General features: G+C 39.3%; 1 long non-coding RNA gene across 3 annotated transcripts in view, besides 1 other annotated feature; it reads right to left on the minus strand.

Annotated features, from left to right (window-relative positions):
- Positions 1-6,879: 6,879 nt before the first annotated feature.
- The window catches only part of LOC105376626 (uncharacterized), a 59,489-nt gene continuing 47,912 nt past the window's right edge, over positions 6,880-18,456 (minus strand). The window contains exons 4-5 of one of the 3 annotated variants that reach the window (XR_007062653.1): positions 15,388-17,347; positions 13,258-13,795 (exon numbers count right to left, since the gene is read on the minus strand). This is a non-coding gene — a long non-coding RNA (uncharacterized LOC105376626). Of the gene's footprint in view, positions 17,348-18,456 lie in introns of all 3 variants that reach the window. The other 2 variants (XR_007062654.1, XR_001748180.2) reach the window with 2 other exon arrangements.
- Positions 13,069-13,118: an enhancer, noted in NCBI's record as "active region_4609". NCBI's record gives its function as "activates an Ori minimal core promoter by ATAC-STARR-seq in GM12878 lymphoblastoid cells {active_cell/tissue: GM12878}" and the evidence as "EXISTENCE:reporter gene assay evidence [ECO:0000049][PMID:35858748]".

An 18,456-nucleotide genomic window follows, 5' to 3' on the forward strand; every position in this document is an offset into this window, starting at 1 on the left:
TTAAACTATAGGTAAGTGATATTTACATGCCCAAACATAATTCAGCAGATTCTATAATCAAAGCATGTGCATAGTTGAGAAGATGGCTTCATTGACTAGGTGACATTTGAACCAGCTTTTTGCATTACTGAGTATAACCCACCCCACTTTTTGTCTGGTTTCCCTAATTTCAGTAATCAAATATTTAACACCCAAATACATAAATTCATCAGTTCATTTTTCCAGGACCTTGGCTCAATACCTGTGTGTACATATCACAACAATAACTAATTCCCACAAAGCCTAGAAACTTTTAGTTGGAAGGAAAATTACTCATATGGCATGTTAGTTGTACAGAGAAAGTTTTATTTACACCCTACTATTCGCAAAGAAAATATTCTTTGTTAAGTCATCCGTCCTAAAGAAAGATGAGGAATAGACACTTACCGTTGTCTAATCAAAATGTATTTTAATTCTTCAACTCTCCTACCTCTTCCCTGGCCCCTGCTTTTTTTGAAGGTGTCCTGTGTGTGCAAATGCATCTTTACATATCTTGACGCTCATTGTTTTGTTCTCAAGGGGATCATCTGTTAAATTTATTTTCAGAGAATCATAAGCATCTTTGGACTCTCGAGCTAACTTGCAAAACTATAGGAGTGAGTGAAAATCAAATATTATTTTTAACATTCAGTATTTTTAATGCTAAAAATCAAGTTAATATGCTCTTTATTAGTTCAAAATGAATGTTTGAGGTGTGGAAGCCAACTTACTCACCTGCTAGTACCATGTAGCTCTTCATGAATTGCATAGCTCCCACAGTTAAGTAGATTTTATTACTTACTAAATACCTTATGTTATTTGTGGGCATTTCATTTTGACACCAAATTGTCTATTATTGGTAAATTAATAAGAAAGTATTCTGCCTTAACCTGTTAAATACTAGTTAGAATGTCATGATGAGTTTCAGGTATTCTCTTTATACTTTCAATGTTTGATACAACTTTAGAAGAATGAGAATGGACACTTTTGTCGATGTACCTATTTTGAGAGCAAACGCTAATCCCGCCTTTAAAAATGTGCAATTTTAGCCATTTTTACTGGAGAATGCTGGAAGTCATTATTCCTATGAACTGAGAATACGGGAGACTATGACTTGGACAAAATGGAAACTCAAGATTCAGTGGGGTACAGGGCTTTTGTGTGTTTGTTTTTGTTTTCTCATTTCGCAAATGAGTCCTTGCAACTTTGGAAAATATTGAGAGTAATAGCTTCATAAAGTTTTTTTTTTTTTTTTTTTTTTTTGAGATGGAGTCTCCCTCTGTTGCCCAGGCTGGAGTGCAGTGGCACGATCTCGGCTCACTGCAACCTCCGTTTTCCAGCTTAAGCGATTCTTCTGCCTCAGCCTCCCGAGTAGCTGGTACTACAGGCATGTGCCAATTTTTATTTTTAGTAGAAACAGGGTTTCACCATATTGACCAGGCTGGTCTCAAACTCCTTACCTCGTGATCTGCCCACCTTGGCCTCCCAAAGTGCTGGGATTACAGGCGTGAGCCACCGCGCCCAGGCTTTTTAAATTTTTTTCTTTTTTTTTTTTTTTTTTTGAGACAGGGTCTCTCTCTGTTGCCTAGGCTGGAGTGCAGTGACGTGATCATAGCTCCACTGCAGCCTCCAACTCCTGGGCTTAGGAGATTCTCCCACCTCAGCCTCCTGATAGCTGGGACTACAAGTGCGTACCATCACGCCTGGCAAGTTTTTAAAATTTTTTGTAGAGATGAGGTCTTGCTATGTTGCCCAGGCTGGTCTCGAACTCCTGACCTCAAGCAATCCTCCTGCCTTGGCCTCCCAAAGTGCTGGGATTACAGGCATGAGCCACCATGACCAGCTGTAAAAAGTCTTAAAAATGGAAAAACTGGTAAACATAGATTAATAAGTATTTTACTTGGGAAATTATAGGACTTTTTCTAGGTAGATATTTTTATAGTTATCTAATTACTTGGTTCTCATTAAGTAGATAAAGACCTTTTCTTCAAATTATACATATGTTGACCATGAAAATATAATATACTAATAGCTAACTTACTGTATTCCAGACATTGTTTTGAATACTTTATACATATTATTAACTCATTAAGTCTTCACCAAAACCCAATAAGATAGGTTGTGTTATCAGTATTTCACAGAAAGGTATTAGTATTATCAATATTTCACAGAAGGTTCATTAAGTAACTTAAATCTGAGATTACACAGCTAATAAGTAGCAGTGACCGTATTTCAAGGCAGGCAGCCTGGCCCCAGAGCCTCACAAGTCTCCTTTCTAAAAACATCTATTTCTTAGGAAATTTTGGAGTTCAGCACATTAAAAAGATTTTTATAAGTTGGGTAATAGTTCTCTTTTGATATAGTGAACACAGCCTGTTGAACTTCTCGGGAGCATCTTCTACAGGGGTTGCACATGCCATAGAAATAAGTCTGTGGCTAAAACCACAGTAATTTGACATTTGGTTTCCTTTAGATTTTAATATTAATGTATAGTGTATTCCTTCAACCTTCTGATTCATGAAGGGGTGGTAGCTGGTGTGAATTAATTAAGAGTCAAACAGGAAAATAATACCTCAGTGTTCTTATTTAAAGGGCATGTTATTGGGTGATGACCAAAGAGTTCTTTAGTTTTGGTCTGGGATGACAAGTTACAGAGGAGGAAAAGTAATAAATTTTTAAAAAGAAAATGTAATAAATGTCTTTGTGGTTGAAAGTACATGTTCTTTCTATGCAGTTAGCAGAGCTTGGGAGGTAGAAGTACCTCCTTGGTTTTCCCCAGATTATTTTGCAAGTTTAAAGTATGTCACTTGTTCCCTCATCCTTACTATCACCAACACAATTATTTTGTACAGTATTAACACAAGGCTCACACCTTGTAAGGATGACAGGCTGATTGGATTTCTCACTCTTCCCTGCTCCAACCCTTTCAATGAGTCAGTCTGACCCCCACCAAATGCATTCCTTTTTTAAGGGACTGGGGGAATCTTGCTGGAGTGTTCTGTGCCTAGCTGTCAAAAACATACTCGATTAAGTAAAAGCACTATTTGTCAAGACTAGCCCATAACATTATGCTTTTTTGTAAAATGTTCTGAGGCCAGTTTCCCTTTTATGGTGGGTGGATATGTGAACATTTTATGCTCGTAGCATTGACTCATTTCTTATTTGGAGACCAGATAAGTCATCTTGTATATTTATTTTTTATGATACGGTAAATAAGACATTCAAAAGCAACTAACCTGAAGCCTCCTTTTAAAAATATCCCCCAGTTGTGTTTTTTCATAAATGAAAAATTGCACTCCCTTTAATTGGGGAATGACTTTTTACCTAAGGTTTCTACCTTATGATACTCAGATAACAGATATTTGGTGGACTTTTGCTTTTTTCAAGAGAAAAATTATTAAGGAGAACATGCAGGGGGGAATAAGACTAACAACATGGAAAATACTCATGGTATGTTTCATGAAAAATATAGAACATAAATTTCGTGGAAGTATGTAGAAAAATTGAATAGGTACGTGCACAGGAGCTCAAGAATAATATGGTCAGTCAGTCATCTGATTTGATGAGAGACAGAGCTGGCCATTTAAAAAGAAAATGTAAAGTTTCACTGCATTTTTTTTTCCTGCACTGAAGGACACTCCTTAGTGGTTAGTGTTGATTATTAGCATTGGCCTAAAGACCAAACAACACCATTGAGTAACAGGATTTTTCAAGATTCCATGTATTTGTCTGGTATTTGGGTTTTATTTCACTTTACAAAGATTTTCTTTTTTGTTGTTCTTGTTGTTTTATTATACTTTAAGTTCTGGGATACACGTGCAGAACGTTCAGGTTTGTTACATATGTATACACTTGCCATGTTGGTTTGCCACACCCATCAACCTGTCATCTACATTAGGTATTTCTCCTAATGCTATCCCTCCCCTAGCCCCCCACCCCCCAACAGGCCCTGGTGTGTGATGTTCCCCTCCCTGCGTTCATGTGTTCTCATTGTTCAACTCCCACTTATGAGTGAGAACATGCCGTATTTGGTTTTCTGTTCCTGTGTTAGTTTGCTGAGAATGCTGGTTTCCAGCTTCATCCAAGTCCCTGCAAAGGACATGAACTCATCCTTTTTTGTGGCTGCAAAGTATTCCATGGTGTATATGTGCCACATTTTCTTTATCCAGTCTATTATTGATGGGCATTTGGGTTGGTTCCAAGTCTACAAAGATGTTTTCAAATACAAGTATTGATGATTTTAAAGTAATTGTACGCAAAGCTGTGATGTTCATGTGTACTCCATTTGGTGGAAGGCAGAAATGCTCACTGATCTTTTGTTATGTACCCCCAAACATGTACGAGATCCGACCAGGAAGCAAGAGAAACTGCTTTTGTTCCCTGCTTCTCCCCCATTGCCCCCAAGGAGCCATCTGATGTGGACTCATTAAAAGGGAGAATATTTATTAGGCTACAGTGCCAAGTCTGCCATCTGTTATTATTGCTCTCAGCTTTTCCACATGGCAGGTGTGGTCACATCAGCCTCAAGCCATTCCTACTTGAGAGGCAGCCTTCTTAGGAAGGGCTGGATTAGGCAGATTAAATTATCTGCCTTAGATCTTAGGGAATATTTCTTTTCCTTTTGATTTAATTGTACAAAGGTTTCTATTCTTTGTTTTCTTCTTGACAGGAGAATGGTAAACTAAAGGGCTGAGATAAGGGTGTGAACCTATGGGATAGAAGCCCAGGAGGCTGTTTAACCTGTTTCTGTTCTTGGCTTAAGCAGTGGTGTGCCGGTAAATGTTTAACAACCAGCTCTTTGGAGAAGAAATGCATATGGATATATAACCAATTATAAGTCTGTTATAAATTTTACTGATTTACAAGGAGTAAAATATATGACTTACTAAGAACTATAGAACATACAATACTCCTTATTGTATGTTATCACGGAATGCTTTACCTGATTTTATAGAACGCTTTTATTTGCAGCCAAACTATGATTGCAGTTGATGAATAAGTAGGTTACTGACCTAAATGTTGGTTGACATTTTCCTTTACACAAAAGAATAAGATAAAAGTTAAAACAACAGTGACACAGAAGTTTACATGTTTGTCCATGAAGAGAGTACTTTCTCTACTGAATCAGATAATTTTCAAATACTGGAATATTTTCTCAAATTTTGTGCTATTCATAGTGTACCAACTACAAACATGACATTTTTAAGTTTAATCTGCATTATTTACATTTTTCTCTATTATTTTCTTAAGTCTAGAGACAATCCACAATAAATCAATCCCTGATTTGTAGTATTTGCTGATTTCGGTGGTATAAATGCTCTGATTTCAAGCTTCCAATGTAATGTTACTGAGTGTAGAATTAGGAAGAGATGCATAGCTCTCCATTATTACATAGTATTTCCACCATTAAAGATACAATAGAGGTAAAAACCTCAAGAACATAGATAATAGTAAATGAATAGGAAGTGGTGAGCTTTGGGTATTTATTATCTTTGCTTCCGGTATAATTTATTGAATCCTAAGCTTATATAATTTAGCTTTCAGTAATAGCTGTGTTTAATAATCAGCTTGCAAAGTTCTTAAAAGTTTAACAATCAGCTCTCACGAGCTGGTACAAGCCAGCTTCAGCACACCACTGGCCTTAGGCATTCCAATGGCAGTGGTGGTGGGGGTCGGGGGAGACATACGCCAATATGCCATGCTTTTTAAAATATGAAACCCAGGGCCCCACTCCTGGAAATGAGTCTAAGGTGAGACATCAGGGTTTGAGGTCGGAGCTCCATTAACAACCTCTCTTTGCCAGGTCTTGTTCTCTGCTCATCTCCTTTGGGACCTCATGGGGTAGAGGGTGGAATGGGGGTTTGAGGTGGGAAAGAGTTCATGTGCTCTAGATCCTGGGGCTCAGCCACTTTTTTCACTACTGCTAACTTGGGGTACTGGCCCAGCCCCCTTGACATCCTGCGGATATCTTGCTATCCTACGGAAGTGGAAATCAACCCAATTTCTCAGTTCCTAACCAGAAATTAGACTCCTAGAGACCACTGAGAAAGCAGAACTGAATATGAAAGGCTGTGGGCTAGTTAGTTGGGACCATGAAATCTTTTGCTGGGGCTGGCTGCTGACTCATGGGGGAACTTTTCTGTCTCAGTAGCCCACATGCTCAAATATCGTTGTTAAGTAAAGCTTAAGGGCAAAGCGTGATGGCCTCTTGTGTTGGTGTAAAGCTTACTCAACAAATGAAAAAGAATGGTGGCCTCCATCATTTTTTGAAATTAGTCCATGAAAACCTGAACTTAGAACACATGAAATAAGGAATGATGTTATTTTTTAAAAGGGCTTTTGCTTTACAAAAAGACTCACAGTTACTTAGAAAATGCCCCTCAGGTAATTTTAAATGGTGCTTACAAAATCCTCATTTATATATATATATATATTTGCAGAAATACATATATTACATTAAACCTATATTCATTGAACAGTACCCAGAGTCTCTTGCATTATCACTGTAAAACGGAAATGTGACCCTAATTGAGGGGACCTGAGGAGATTGCATACTAGCATAAGGGTATGTTCAGGACAGTAAACACAAGAACTTCTTTTCTTCTCTTTTGCTAGGCTGAGAGTCAACTGTGGGCATCGTGACTGAGCAAGTAATTTTGAAACTATTTGGTAGTCTCTGTAACACCTCCTGGACAATAAAGTCACTAATGAAAATTGAGGTGTCTTAGCTTGAGTGAAAGTGTTAAAGCTTTTTCAAATGCCTGAAAAAACCATCATAAAACATACATGTGAGGGAAAAGACAGTGGGTTGTCATGGAACAGGAAAGCCATGAAATCAGATAAAGCAAAAGTACCATGCACTTAGAAAATTCTGTTATTATTTATTAGTTAAATTGGCCCAGAATTCCTTGTGGAAAAATTAAAAGGCTAATGTCCACAGGAAAAGAAAAAAAAAAAGAATTGTTCAGGGATTATTAGGAATCCAGTTGTTTTCCTGAGCAGTTTCCAAATCCTGCAGATACAAACAATAATAAGAGATGATTAGGGCATTACTTGAGCTTTTTTTTTTTTTTTAAAGAGTAAAGACATTTCCACTTGAAAGCTTCCATAAGTTCTGTGAATGCATGATTTCAAAGACAGAATGTCTAACTTGATTTCACAGACTCTTCTTGGCCATGGTAAACAGGTTAGAAACAGGCATGTGATTTGTTTTATTAATTTGCCACTGCCTCATATCTGCGCTTAGACAATTTGTACCTTTGTATTTTAGTGTCTCCAACTTGGAAATGTGTAATATTCTGTACAGTAACGTTTTCATGGAATACAGGGAACCAGTGGATCTTTTGACTTCTTGTACCATGTCTCCCACCTCTTCCCCTACTCCCTGTACTTGACATGTCACATGTGGGGTCTGCTGACCTGTGTCTCTGCCTCTGCACTTACTGTTGTCCCATCTCCAACTGCCATTTACACTTCCCTGTACCATCTGGATCCCTCATTTTATGACCCTAGGCAAAGAGATCCTGTTCCAGGAAGGCTTCTAGGATGATTAGTACCCTTTCACCTTCTGCAGACCAGAATATGCAACAAGCACAGCGATCTTGGAGAGCTTGGAGAAGGTCATGGCTCTAAGTGTCCTGGAGAGGTAGACTGGCTTCAGGAATTGGTGATAAGCCTGAACTAGTTTTCCGGTGCTCTGTGTGCTATTGCTGGGGCCAAGAAGCAATATTAGATGAAGCAAACGGGGACACAGAATCTTACTTTTAGGAAAGTAGCATGAATTTTGTCCTTTCATACATGATACAATGCTATATTACGATTCCTCGCTGTAGCTCGGAATTGGTAGCTCCTCTACTTTAAGGTAAAGCTAAAATTTCTTAGCCCGAGGAACAAAATCCTTCATGATCTGGCCATGACTCTTTAATTATGTCCTTTGCTGTATCCACATCAACCCATCCATTGTTTGGACTCCCCCAAAATGACAGCTACTTGTATTTTAAGGTTCAGGTCAAGCATAACCTCTTCTTGGCTCTTGGATGGGTTTTGTTTGAGACAGAGTCTCCCTCTGTTGCCCAGACTGGAGTGCATGGCATGATCTTGGCTCGGTGCAACCTCCACCTCCCGGGGGGTTCAAGCGATTCTCCTGCCTCAGCCTCCCGAGTAGCTGAGACTGCAGGCGTACGCCAACATAACTGGCTAATTTTTTGGTATTTTTAGTAGAGATGGGTTTTCACCATGTTAGCCAGGCTGGTCTTGAACTCCTGACCTCAGGCAATCCGCCCACCTCAGCCTCCCAAAGTGCTGGGATTACAGGCATGAGCTACTGTGCCCAGCCTTGGATGAGTTTTTCTGGATTCTTCCAGGTTGGGTCAAGCAATCCTCTGCATACCTGTAATGCCTTGCTCACCTTTCTTGGAGTACTTCCTGCTTTGTTTAATCATGACCTTAATTATCACATTCACCATATTGTGAGCTTCCTGAGAACAGATCATGTTTCTTCTTCTCAGTATCTCCAGCACCCAGTACAGTGCCCAGCACGTGGTAATTCCTGAACTAGTGTTTGAATGGTATCGGCGGCATTTTTTGGAAATTAAAGTTAATGAGTAAGAAGGGCAGGGTAAGAGATTATCTTGGAGCTCCACTCCTAAAAGAAATCAGAATGTTAACACTGTTGAGCAACCCGTGGAGGAGAAGAGAGAAAGGCAATAAAATCTGCCCCCTGCCTGGGATTGCTGAATGCTGGCAATCTGACCACTTGTGACTCAGGTATTCCTAGGAATATAAAGCACTGTGAAAAAGAAAATTAAAGGGCAAGCGGACACCCAGGAAGAACTTGAATAAAAAATTACCATTAAACAAACACTAAGGGAGAGTTGTCTTCAGTAAGAAATAATGCCCTAAGAATGTGTTAGGGTTCAGAACAAATAAATCTAGATAAAGAAGAGATTGTATTAAAAGCAACCTGTTTTGTGAAGCTGAAATTAGGAAGGATGATTCATAGCCCTCCTGGGTTACAAAGTACAGTAGGTAAATCAATGGCATAGCAGCAAAGAATCTATAGCTTATTATGTGCTTTTGGCTCAAGGGAAAGAAAGGTATTTCATTCAGTACTATAGCATGTGCCCCACAAAGCCGTTTGGTTGATAGAATCAAAGAAAGTATCAATATATGGAATTCCTTCCAAGTTGCAATGGTACATATCAGTGACCTCTAGCAGCCTGAAGCTGTGTCCACCAGCACTGTTATGTTGGTTTCCCCCAAAAGGTCATGGTAACTTGCGGATATGCTGGTTTGCATAAGGACAGCTGCAACTAGAGTTATATGATATTGTTCCCAGCTCAGCCCCACCCTGTGCCAAGAGGATTAATGATGGAAAAAACCCGAAGGGTAAAGAACTAACTGACACTTGGTCATGTTTCTATGAAACTATGGTAAATAAGCATTGAAAAGAGGCACCATTTGGGACCCTGGGCCCTAGAGCAATGAGCTCAGAATCTAGATAGTATTCCAAGTTCTCATCACTACCTGTCTGTAGTAGACTAACAAGAAACTTTCCTGATTTTCTTGTTTGGTTTCGGGGTTCTTATGGGCCCATTTAAAAAAAATAAGCATGTTGTCCTTTCCTCTGCAAAGATCTCACTCAGCTAGGGTCAGACTCAGTGAAAGGCACTTGCTTCTGCAGAGGCTCATGCTGGAGATCAGAAAAGGGCAGTCAGGACCTCCAAGTGGCTGTGTTTTGAAGACCCTTGAAGTCAGTTTATTTCTCCAAACTAGTCAAGAGTCACTCTCTGGGGCTGGGCATGGTGGCTCACACCTGTAATCCCAGCACTTTGGGAGCCAAGGTGGGAGTTCGAGACCAGCCTAGGCAACATAGCGAGACTCTGCCTCAACCAAAAATAAATAAATAGATAATTAATAAATAAGTCACTCTCTGCCCGGCCTCTTGTATTCCCTCCTCCAGTATCATTTGACATACTTCCTACCCCAAACTGCCTCAATACACTGACAGGTCAGTAGGTGGCCAAGAGATCCCAAACTGATCGTTTTATCTTGGAATGACTCTGGGCTTTACTGTCAGAATCCTCCTAATTTACACCATTGCCATAAAAGTGCTTGTGATTTTCCTATGGTAATGTTGTGCACTAAATAATGCCAAGGGAATCCAACAGGTAACAGTGAGGACACTCTGGCCCCTGTCCTGATTTTCGGTATATACCATTGATTTGCAGATTAACTGTGATTCTCACACTCCCTCTGTAACCTTCTAAGCATGCAAACGTCAAGGAAGCTTAGTCCTCAGATCTGCCCATTATCCTGCATATGGTGGTTAAAAATACAAACCCCAGCCTTAAAACTACTGGATAATGGGTCAAGTTACTCAACCTCTCTCTATTTCTTCTTTTCTCATCTAAAATATAGGGGTAATAATTATAATACCTACCTCATATGGTTATTGAAGGATTAAATGAGTTAATACACATCAAGTGCTTAAGTGTTAGATAATATTATTTTTTAAGCCCCTTTGGCGTGCACACATTCTCAGATTGTCAACTTTGCAGTTGCAAAGCGTAGAACATATACCTGAAAGAGACATGACTGATTGGCTAACCAGCTTCTTATTTCTAAAGAGGAGAAAACTAAAGTCCAGAGAAAAGACGGGTCTTTTCCCAAAATTAAATGGCTATTAGGGATAGTGTGTGAGCTAGCATGCAGGCTCCCTGCCATCTGAGGCAACTCTTCAGCATTCCATGGTTATTGGGCAATGAGAAGATCAGATTTCTATAGAGTAAATAACCATTTCCTAGATTAAATAATCTTACTCGCTTAGGTTTTTGGGATGGGCATATAGTGGAGGACTTCATAGCTTAAGAATATACTGCCAATTCTGAGTGTGTGAATTCAGAAAGAAATATAAGGATTTCAGAGGGCAAAATGATAAGTAGCCGATGGCCAGAGTTCCCACACTTCGAGGGCCATGGACTTTTGCTTTGGCAGTAACAGATGGCTGGATAGTGACCAAGGGATGCTGCCTAGGAAGAGCAGGTAATGGGTTTGCCAGCTGGAGCTGAAAACATTAAAAGACCAGTGGTTCGAGTGGGCACGGTGGCTCACACCTATAGTCCCAGCTGAGGCAAGTGGATCGCTTGAGCCCAGGAGTTCAAGATCAGCTTGGGCAACATGGCAAAAACCTGTCTCTACAAAAAAAAAAAAAAAAAAAAAAAGATTAGCCGGGCATGGTGGTGAATGCCTGTAGTCCCCACTACTCAGGAGGCTGAGGTGAGAGAGTTGTTTGAACCTGAGAGGTCAAAAGTGCAGTGAGCCTAAATGGCATCACTGCACTCCATCCTGGGCAACAGAGTGAGAACTTGTCTCAAAAAAAAATAAATAAAAATTAAAAAAAAATTAGAATTAAAAAGCACCCTTTAGAATAAGACAGTCTATAGGCCCAAGTTTTCAGTGGAGCCAGGGTCATGCTATCAACCTTGCTGGTTAGGTAGTCTCCTAGAGCCAGGGACACGGAGGCACCCCCAGGAAGGAGAGTTCCTTTCTAAAGCTGCAGAGCACATTAATTCCTTTATTTTTGCTGCATTGAGATAGTCTCTTCATTCCCCTGAAGGTTGACCATACCTCTTACTGTTTATCTCTGAGTTCTCAGGCAGTTCTCTGGCAGTTCTCAGGAACTGGCAGATTTTGTTGGTTAATGTATTGTTTAGACCTCACCATGCCCCAGCAGGTTGAGAAGTAAATGGTGTTTTCTTCTAGGATTAGACCTGCTGACATTTTGAAATAGCCTAGGGCTGCTGGAAAGAGGTACCCAGGAGTTCTCTCCCTTTGAGGACAGGACCACTACCAGTTGACCTGTCTCCCCCTTTCCTTCAAACTAGGATGTTGGCAGCAGAAGATGAGGCTTGGTATGAAAATGAACAGCTTGTGAAAGCGTAACAGGATGTGAGTAAATTAAAGAATTGGGGTTTTTCCCTTTGGTTTTTTAGGTAGAGGGGAGCCTACCTACAATGAAAAGTTAAATAAAAAGTACCCACATGAATGAAGGCAGGGGCAAGTCCAAAGCCAAGATACCGTTTCACTCTAAGTAAACCCACTGAGGGAATCCCCTCCCTTAAAAAGGAAAAAAAAAAAAAAAAAAAAAAAAAAAAGGAAAGAAAACTGGTTGGGCTTGGTGGCTCATGCCTGTAATCCCAGCACTCTGGAAGGCCAAGGCAGGTAGATCGCTTGAGGTCAGGAGTTCGAGACCAGTCTGGCCAACATGGTGAAACCCCGTGTCTACTAAAAATACAAACGATTAGCTGGGCGTGGTGGCATGCGGCTGTAATCCCAGCTACTCAGGAGGCTGAGGCAGGAGAATCACTTAAACCTGGAAGGCAGAGGTTGCTGTGAGCCGAGATCATGCCACCATACCCCAGCCTGGGTGACGGAGTGAGATTCTGTCTCAAAAAAATAAAAATTAAAAATTTTTTTTAAAAAGAAAACAAATTATTAGAAACTATGACCTTCATCATCTTTTCTGTGCCTATTCTCCACTGACTTCTGGTGGCGGGGGGGGTCTTGGAATTTCATCCAGGAGAATATGTCCTTGGGTTACATGGTTGCAGAAACAAATGACTTGGTACTTGATAGTCTTTATAGAAAGAGAAATCAAAGTGCTGCAGTTAACACTGGCCAAGGCACTTGAATGCAAAGCAAAAGTGACAAAAGGGACTGAGGTTGCAGTACGGGAAGTACACTACTGTGTCAGTAGTTAAAGGTGGTGGCCTTGATTTCTCAGAGGGAGAGGAATCAGCTTTGAAGATGCCTGTCACAGACACTAGAAAATCCAACCATCTAGGGCATTGTGTCTGCTGACTCTGTGCTGAGGGATAGAGCTAGAACCCAAATTCCAGGTCCCTGTGTGTTGAAAACAGTCAATCAGCATTCTGACCCTGCCCTGATTACTTTGAATTCAGTGGCCTGGAAAGCCCCATTGATTTCACTGTCTGATTTCTGGAAGTCAATTGAAAGAGAAACATAGCAGCAAGAACCTAAAAGAAAATACAAAAGTTAGCACCTTCTAAGAATAACTTACTGGTCCCAAGTTGGTGTCTATACCTAGTCAGCACCATTAAGAGTCATCCCCGTGGTTGGGGGAAGGTATACCTACAAGGTATTGTCTACATGGGGATTTATAACTTTTACTCTTTAAGGTTTGCCTGCTTGCCAGAGATGTTGCTTCGTTTACTGTTGTTGCTTTCAAAACAGTTGCCTTTTATTTTCCTCTTGCCATGGAAACTGAAATAAATAAAGAGAAGCATGGTTTTTGAATGTTCTCCAGCTTTAGATGCATTGAAGTTTTCAAGATCAGTCAATAAGCATTTTTCTGCCCAATTACCTGTGAGAAGATGTATCTATTGGGAATAAAGAATGGGGGGCGGGGGGTATTGGAAAGGCTGATCAATAAGGCTGGGCTTCATGTCAAACATGTCAATGTATGCTTAGGCCAGTTTCAAATGTTTGGTGGCATTTTGTTCACAAAAGGATAGAGTGTGTGCATCATATTTGTTTTTTTTGTTTTTTCACAAAATTGAGTTAAATCCAGTGCTTTTGTTATTGGCTATTCTTCATGTAGCTTTCTTTAGGGTGGTTGTTTACAAAGACTTCGGCATGGTTTCACAGAGACTCATTCCAGTGGAATCCAGTTAGATGGTCCTAATGCTTTCGTTCCAGCTATGACATGTGTTTTGATTCACAGTATGCTTGGATGGACTGTGTGGATGCTTCATTCCTATGGAAGACATAATTCAGAACAGAAAACTTGTAACAGCAGCATCTTGCCTGCAAAATTATTTAAGAAAAAAAAAAAAAAGACTTTCTGGTTAATACCAAAATCTTTAACTGTCCTTTAGATAGGTACTGTTTCAAGTAATTAACCCACTGTGATTCTCAACAATGGGTCCATAATAGCCTTACCTGAACATTAACTCCTCCTATTTGCCCCCATTACTCCCAGAGATTCCAGTATTTTTTTAGTGGGGCTTTGGTGGTGGTGTGCGTGTATGTATGTATGTGTATATGTTATGTATACACATGCACATATGTGCCTTGGGTGTATGTAACTATGTATGTATATACACACATATTTTTAAACATAAATTTTTATAATATTCATTTTAAACAAAAGTATACAGATATATAATCTTAAGCACCACAGGTGAGTTTGAAGTCCAGCCATTGTTGGGAACCATGGAATCAAACACAATTTTTTAAAAGCACTTTGCTTTCATGACAAATAATACACTTAAGGATAGGAAGAGAAGGAGATGCTCACAGATACAAAGACGTTAAAAAAAAAATGCCCATGTTCATGAAGGGGCTTGCTTACAACCAATTGCTCTCTTATTTCACGGGCTCTTTTGATTTTACATAAAGTTCAGTGCTATAAAACTCTGTAAAATTTCATTATGTTTTTAAAGTCAGAGGCAGGGAAAAAGTCACCTCCAGGTGTTTAGAAAACTAAAAAAGACTGCCATTTCACTGGGCTAAGTTTGAAGCCCCGCAGATGCAAGTGCCTTGTATTCATGAGTCCACAAATAAGGAGGTGTTAATGATCAAGGTAGTGGTTGAGTGGATCCTGGTAAATACAGCTTCAATTGGAGATGGACTCAAGCAGTTCAGCATATACAGCAGACACACAAGCTGATGATAACCACTTACTATGTGCTAGGTACTGTTCTGATGCTTTGCTTACATCACCTCATGACATCTCGACAACAAGGTAGGTATTATTATCCCTGCTTTATCAATGAGAATTTCAGTCACAGACCCTTGACCACATTTGCTCAGCTAGTAGGCAGGGACTGGAACTCAAATCCGTGTGACTTCAAAGCCACGCAGCAACCACCACACCAGTCATATGCTCTGCCCTGTGGATTGGGCCATATTGAAACAATAAAGACCATCGAGCTGATGGATTTCGAACCACTTCAGAGAAATATGTAAAAGGCTTACATGCAAAAATATGTTCAGAAGACAAGCCAAAAGGCCAAGTATTCTTGTAAATGTGGCAGTGATGACTGAAGACTTTATTAAAAATATATTAAGCATGTAGATAGAGAGTGAACTGCTCATAAATCTAGGTGGTTTTGTTTACTTCTATTTTTCTGTATGTTTGAGATATTTCATTGCTGATTATTTTTGGGCAACGGGACATGGAAGAAAGTTGATAAGCTCTTCTGAATTATGACTTATTCAGGTAGTTTTGCATAAACCAGAGGGCAGATAATTGCTGATATGACCTCAACAAAGAGATAAGGTGGAGAAAGGAATGTTTGCTAATTATCTACAAAGGAAAGAGAAAGGTGAGAAATAATAAGTTACCTGATTCTCTGTGTTCTGTGCTTACTTGTTCCTCCAAAGCATTCTCCCCAGCATGTCTCTTCCAGCTTAATAACTGAAAACACTTAGTCAACAACAATACACTCTAGTGGAAAAGAGATCCTGTTAGTTTTCTAGACGATGCCTGTTGTGGGTATATTGTTTCCAAAATTATATTAGTGCTCATGAGCTGGAATCGCTGCACTTTACACACTCAAAATTATGAGACCATTTGTCCCCGGTGGTAGCTCAGTTTTTGGAGTGAACCTCAAAAGCAATCCTTGGCTAACAGAAGATTCTTCCAGATTCTAGCAATGTTTGTTCAAAGTGGGGCATAGCTGGCCAGGTGTAGTGGCTCACACCTGTAATCTCAGCACTTTGGGAGGCTGAAGCAGGCAGATCACCTGAGGTTAAGAGTTCAAGACCAGCCTGGCCAACATGGTGAAACCCTGTCTCTAGTAAAAATACAAAAAATTAGCTAGGCGTGGTGGCACACGCCTGTAATCACAGCTACTTGGGAGGCTGAGGCATGAGAATTGCTTGAACCCAGGAGGTGGAGGTTGCAGTGGGCCGAGATTGCACCACTTCACTCCAGCCTGGGTGACGGAGTGAGACTCCATCTCAAAACAAACAAAAAACAAAAAGCAAAAAAAAAAAAAAAGATGACAACAAAGTAGGGCATATCTTATTATCTTATTTACACTTACTTCCAGAGTTCACTGTAACACAGAAGGTTGTCCTTTGATTTTGACTTTTGATTCATGGAAATGTATACATGAAATTGAATTTCCTAATCTTGTGTTTCAGAACAGCTGACTTGTCTCAGGCAAGTGTGTGCGCATTATATAAGGAAGCAGTGGTCATTTATCTCATCATATATTGGACTGTGAGGCATTAATATATATGTCTTGTTCATGGGAGCCGTTGATTTTAGGAAAGCTACTTATGTAAATAAGCAGTAACAGAAGGCGCTCGGCCAAGCTTTAATGAGACATCTCAGCTCTCCCTCTGCTAAGTCAAAAAATGTACTTTGAGACTTTAATCTCCAGTAAAAGTGACAATGGAAAGAGCAATTTAAGAAACACTCCTTGCACATGTTCACAATGTTAATTTTTAAGAAATCAAAGCCATATATACAATATAATTCTACTTTTTTTAAAGTACATAAATGCAATTAATTAAATAAGACTGCAAGAATATACAAACCAGAATGCTCACAGTTGTTAACTTTCTCTTGAAGTTAACATTTCAGATGATCTTAATTTAATTTAATTTTTTTACCTTTCTGTGTTTTCAAACTTCTTTGTATTCAGCCTATATAGCTTGTTTAACAGGAGAAAAATGTAATAAATGATTAAGGGTCAGGAAAAAAGAAAAAGAAATGAATATGCACCTTCATGCTACAAACAGACCATTTCTAGTACTGGAAATGTCTGCAGCTTTATTCCTCATTTTGCAAATGAAAACCACAATACTGCCTATAATCATAGCCACTGAAGTGGTCAGGAAGAATCTTGTCAGTTCTCCAGCTTTTGCAGTGGAGTGAGTTGGATAAATTTCCTCCTCAAAGGACGTTTGGATGAGTGGAAGCTTCATTAGGAAAGAGGAGAAGCCCATAGGCAAGTCTAGAAAACCTACGTCCCATCACTGTACTGGAAGACTCATGAAGTCCGGACAAAGTGTGATACAGCCTGGTGTATGATGCTCAGTAGTGTGAATGAGATGTGTGATACAACCTGGTGTATGATGCTGAGTAGTGTGTAATGAGAGCCATGACCCAGCTCTTCCAGGACACCGTCGAGCAGACATTTGTGGGATGGTCGAAAGTCACTCAAAGAAGAGATGTCAGTAGTCACCTGGTTCAGCAGGCTCACTGGCTCCTCATCAGAATTGCCTGGGGAGTCTTTTCAAATGCACATTTCTGGTTCCCACTCTCAGAATGCTGGGTTCAGGGTTCAAAGCTCTGCAAGTGATTCACATGGACTGGTTTGTTTGTGATCTACCTTGGGAAAACTCCTTTTACAAATGAACTGAATCAACGGAATAGTTTCTTTTTCCTATTTACATTATGCCTGGTATGCTTTGCGAGTGTTGGGCCTTTGCAAGTGTCTCTTTTCAGAAATGCCATGTTTATTCCATTGCCTTTGCCCAAAACTCTGCTGGGACTCCCCCACTTTTCTTAACAGTGTTCAGAAATGGAATTCTTTTAACTGTCTTCAAAAACAGAGTGACAGCATGCTTTTGAGAGGAGAAGGAATGCTAAAATAATTTGTTATATATTTTTGAAATATTTGTCAAATGAGAAAGATTTTGTTATATTAGTGTAATGACAAAAACTATCGTATTAAAATATTTTCAAAAATAATTTCTAATAAGCCAAATTATATATCCTTGTACATTAATGTAATAAAATTTAAACGCCTATATATTGGCTATATGACCATTAAAATAATATAATCAGAAATTATTCTTGTTTTGTAATCACTTTCTTAGTTATTTTTTTCTTTAAAAAATTTTACTACTTATAAAATGTAATATGTGTAATTGTGATACGTAAGTAACAAAATAAACCTACAGAAATGTTATTTTTAGTGTCTGAATTTTATACAATACAAAAAGTAGAAGTACTTTATTAATGTGGTATCTTGATTGATCATAAAATTTTTCTCGCTTGCATTTCTGCAAATTCATTTATTAGGTCATAACTTTAGCACTTTTTTATGCTTTAATATTTTTTAGCAGATTTTTAAAAGAGCAGTTTTAGGTTCACAGAAAAATTGAGTGGAAGGTAGAGATTTCCCGTATCCCCCCTGCTCCTACATATGGCATTGTCTCCGCCATTGGCACCATCCCCCACCAGAATGATGGATTTGTTGCAACTGATCAAAATAATTTACATATCATTATCCCCAAAGTCCATAGTTTGCATTAGGATTCACCCTTGGTGTTATACATTCTATGGATTTGGACAAATGTATAATAACGTGTATACACTATGACATGTATCTACGCATACAGAGTAGTTTCACTGTCCTAAAAATCTTTTTTTCTTCACCTATTCATTCTGAGCCA

This window comes from Homo sapiens, chromosome 11 (assembly GCF_000001405.40).
Source record: "Homo sapiens chromosome 11, GRCh38.p14 Primary Assembly".
NCBI lineage: Eukaryota > Metazoa > Chordata > Mammalia > Primates > Hominidae > Homo > Homo sapiens.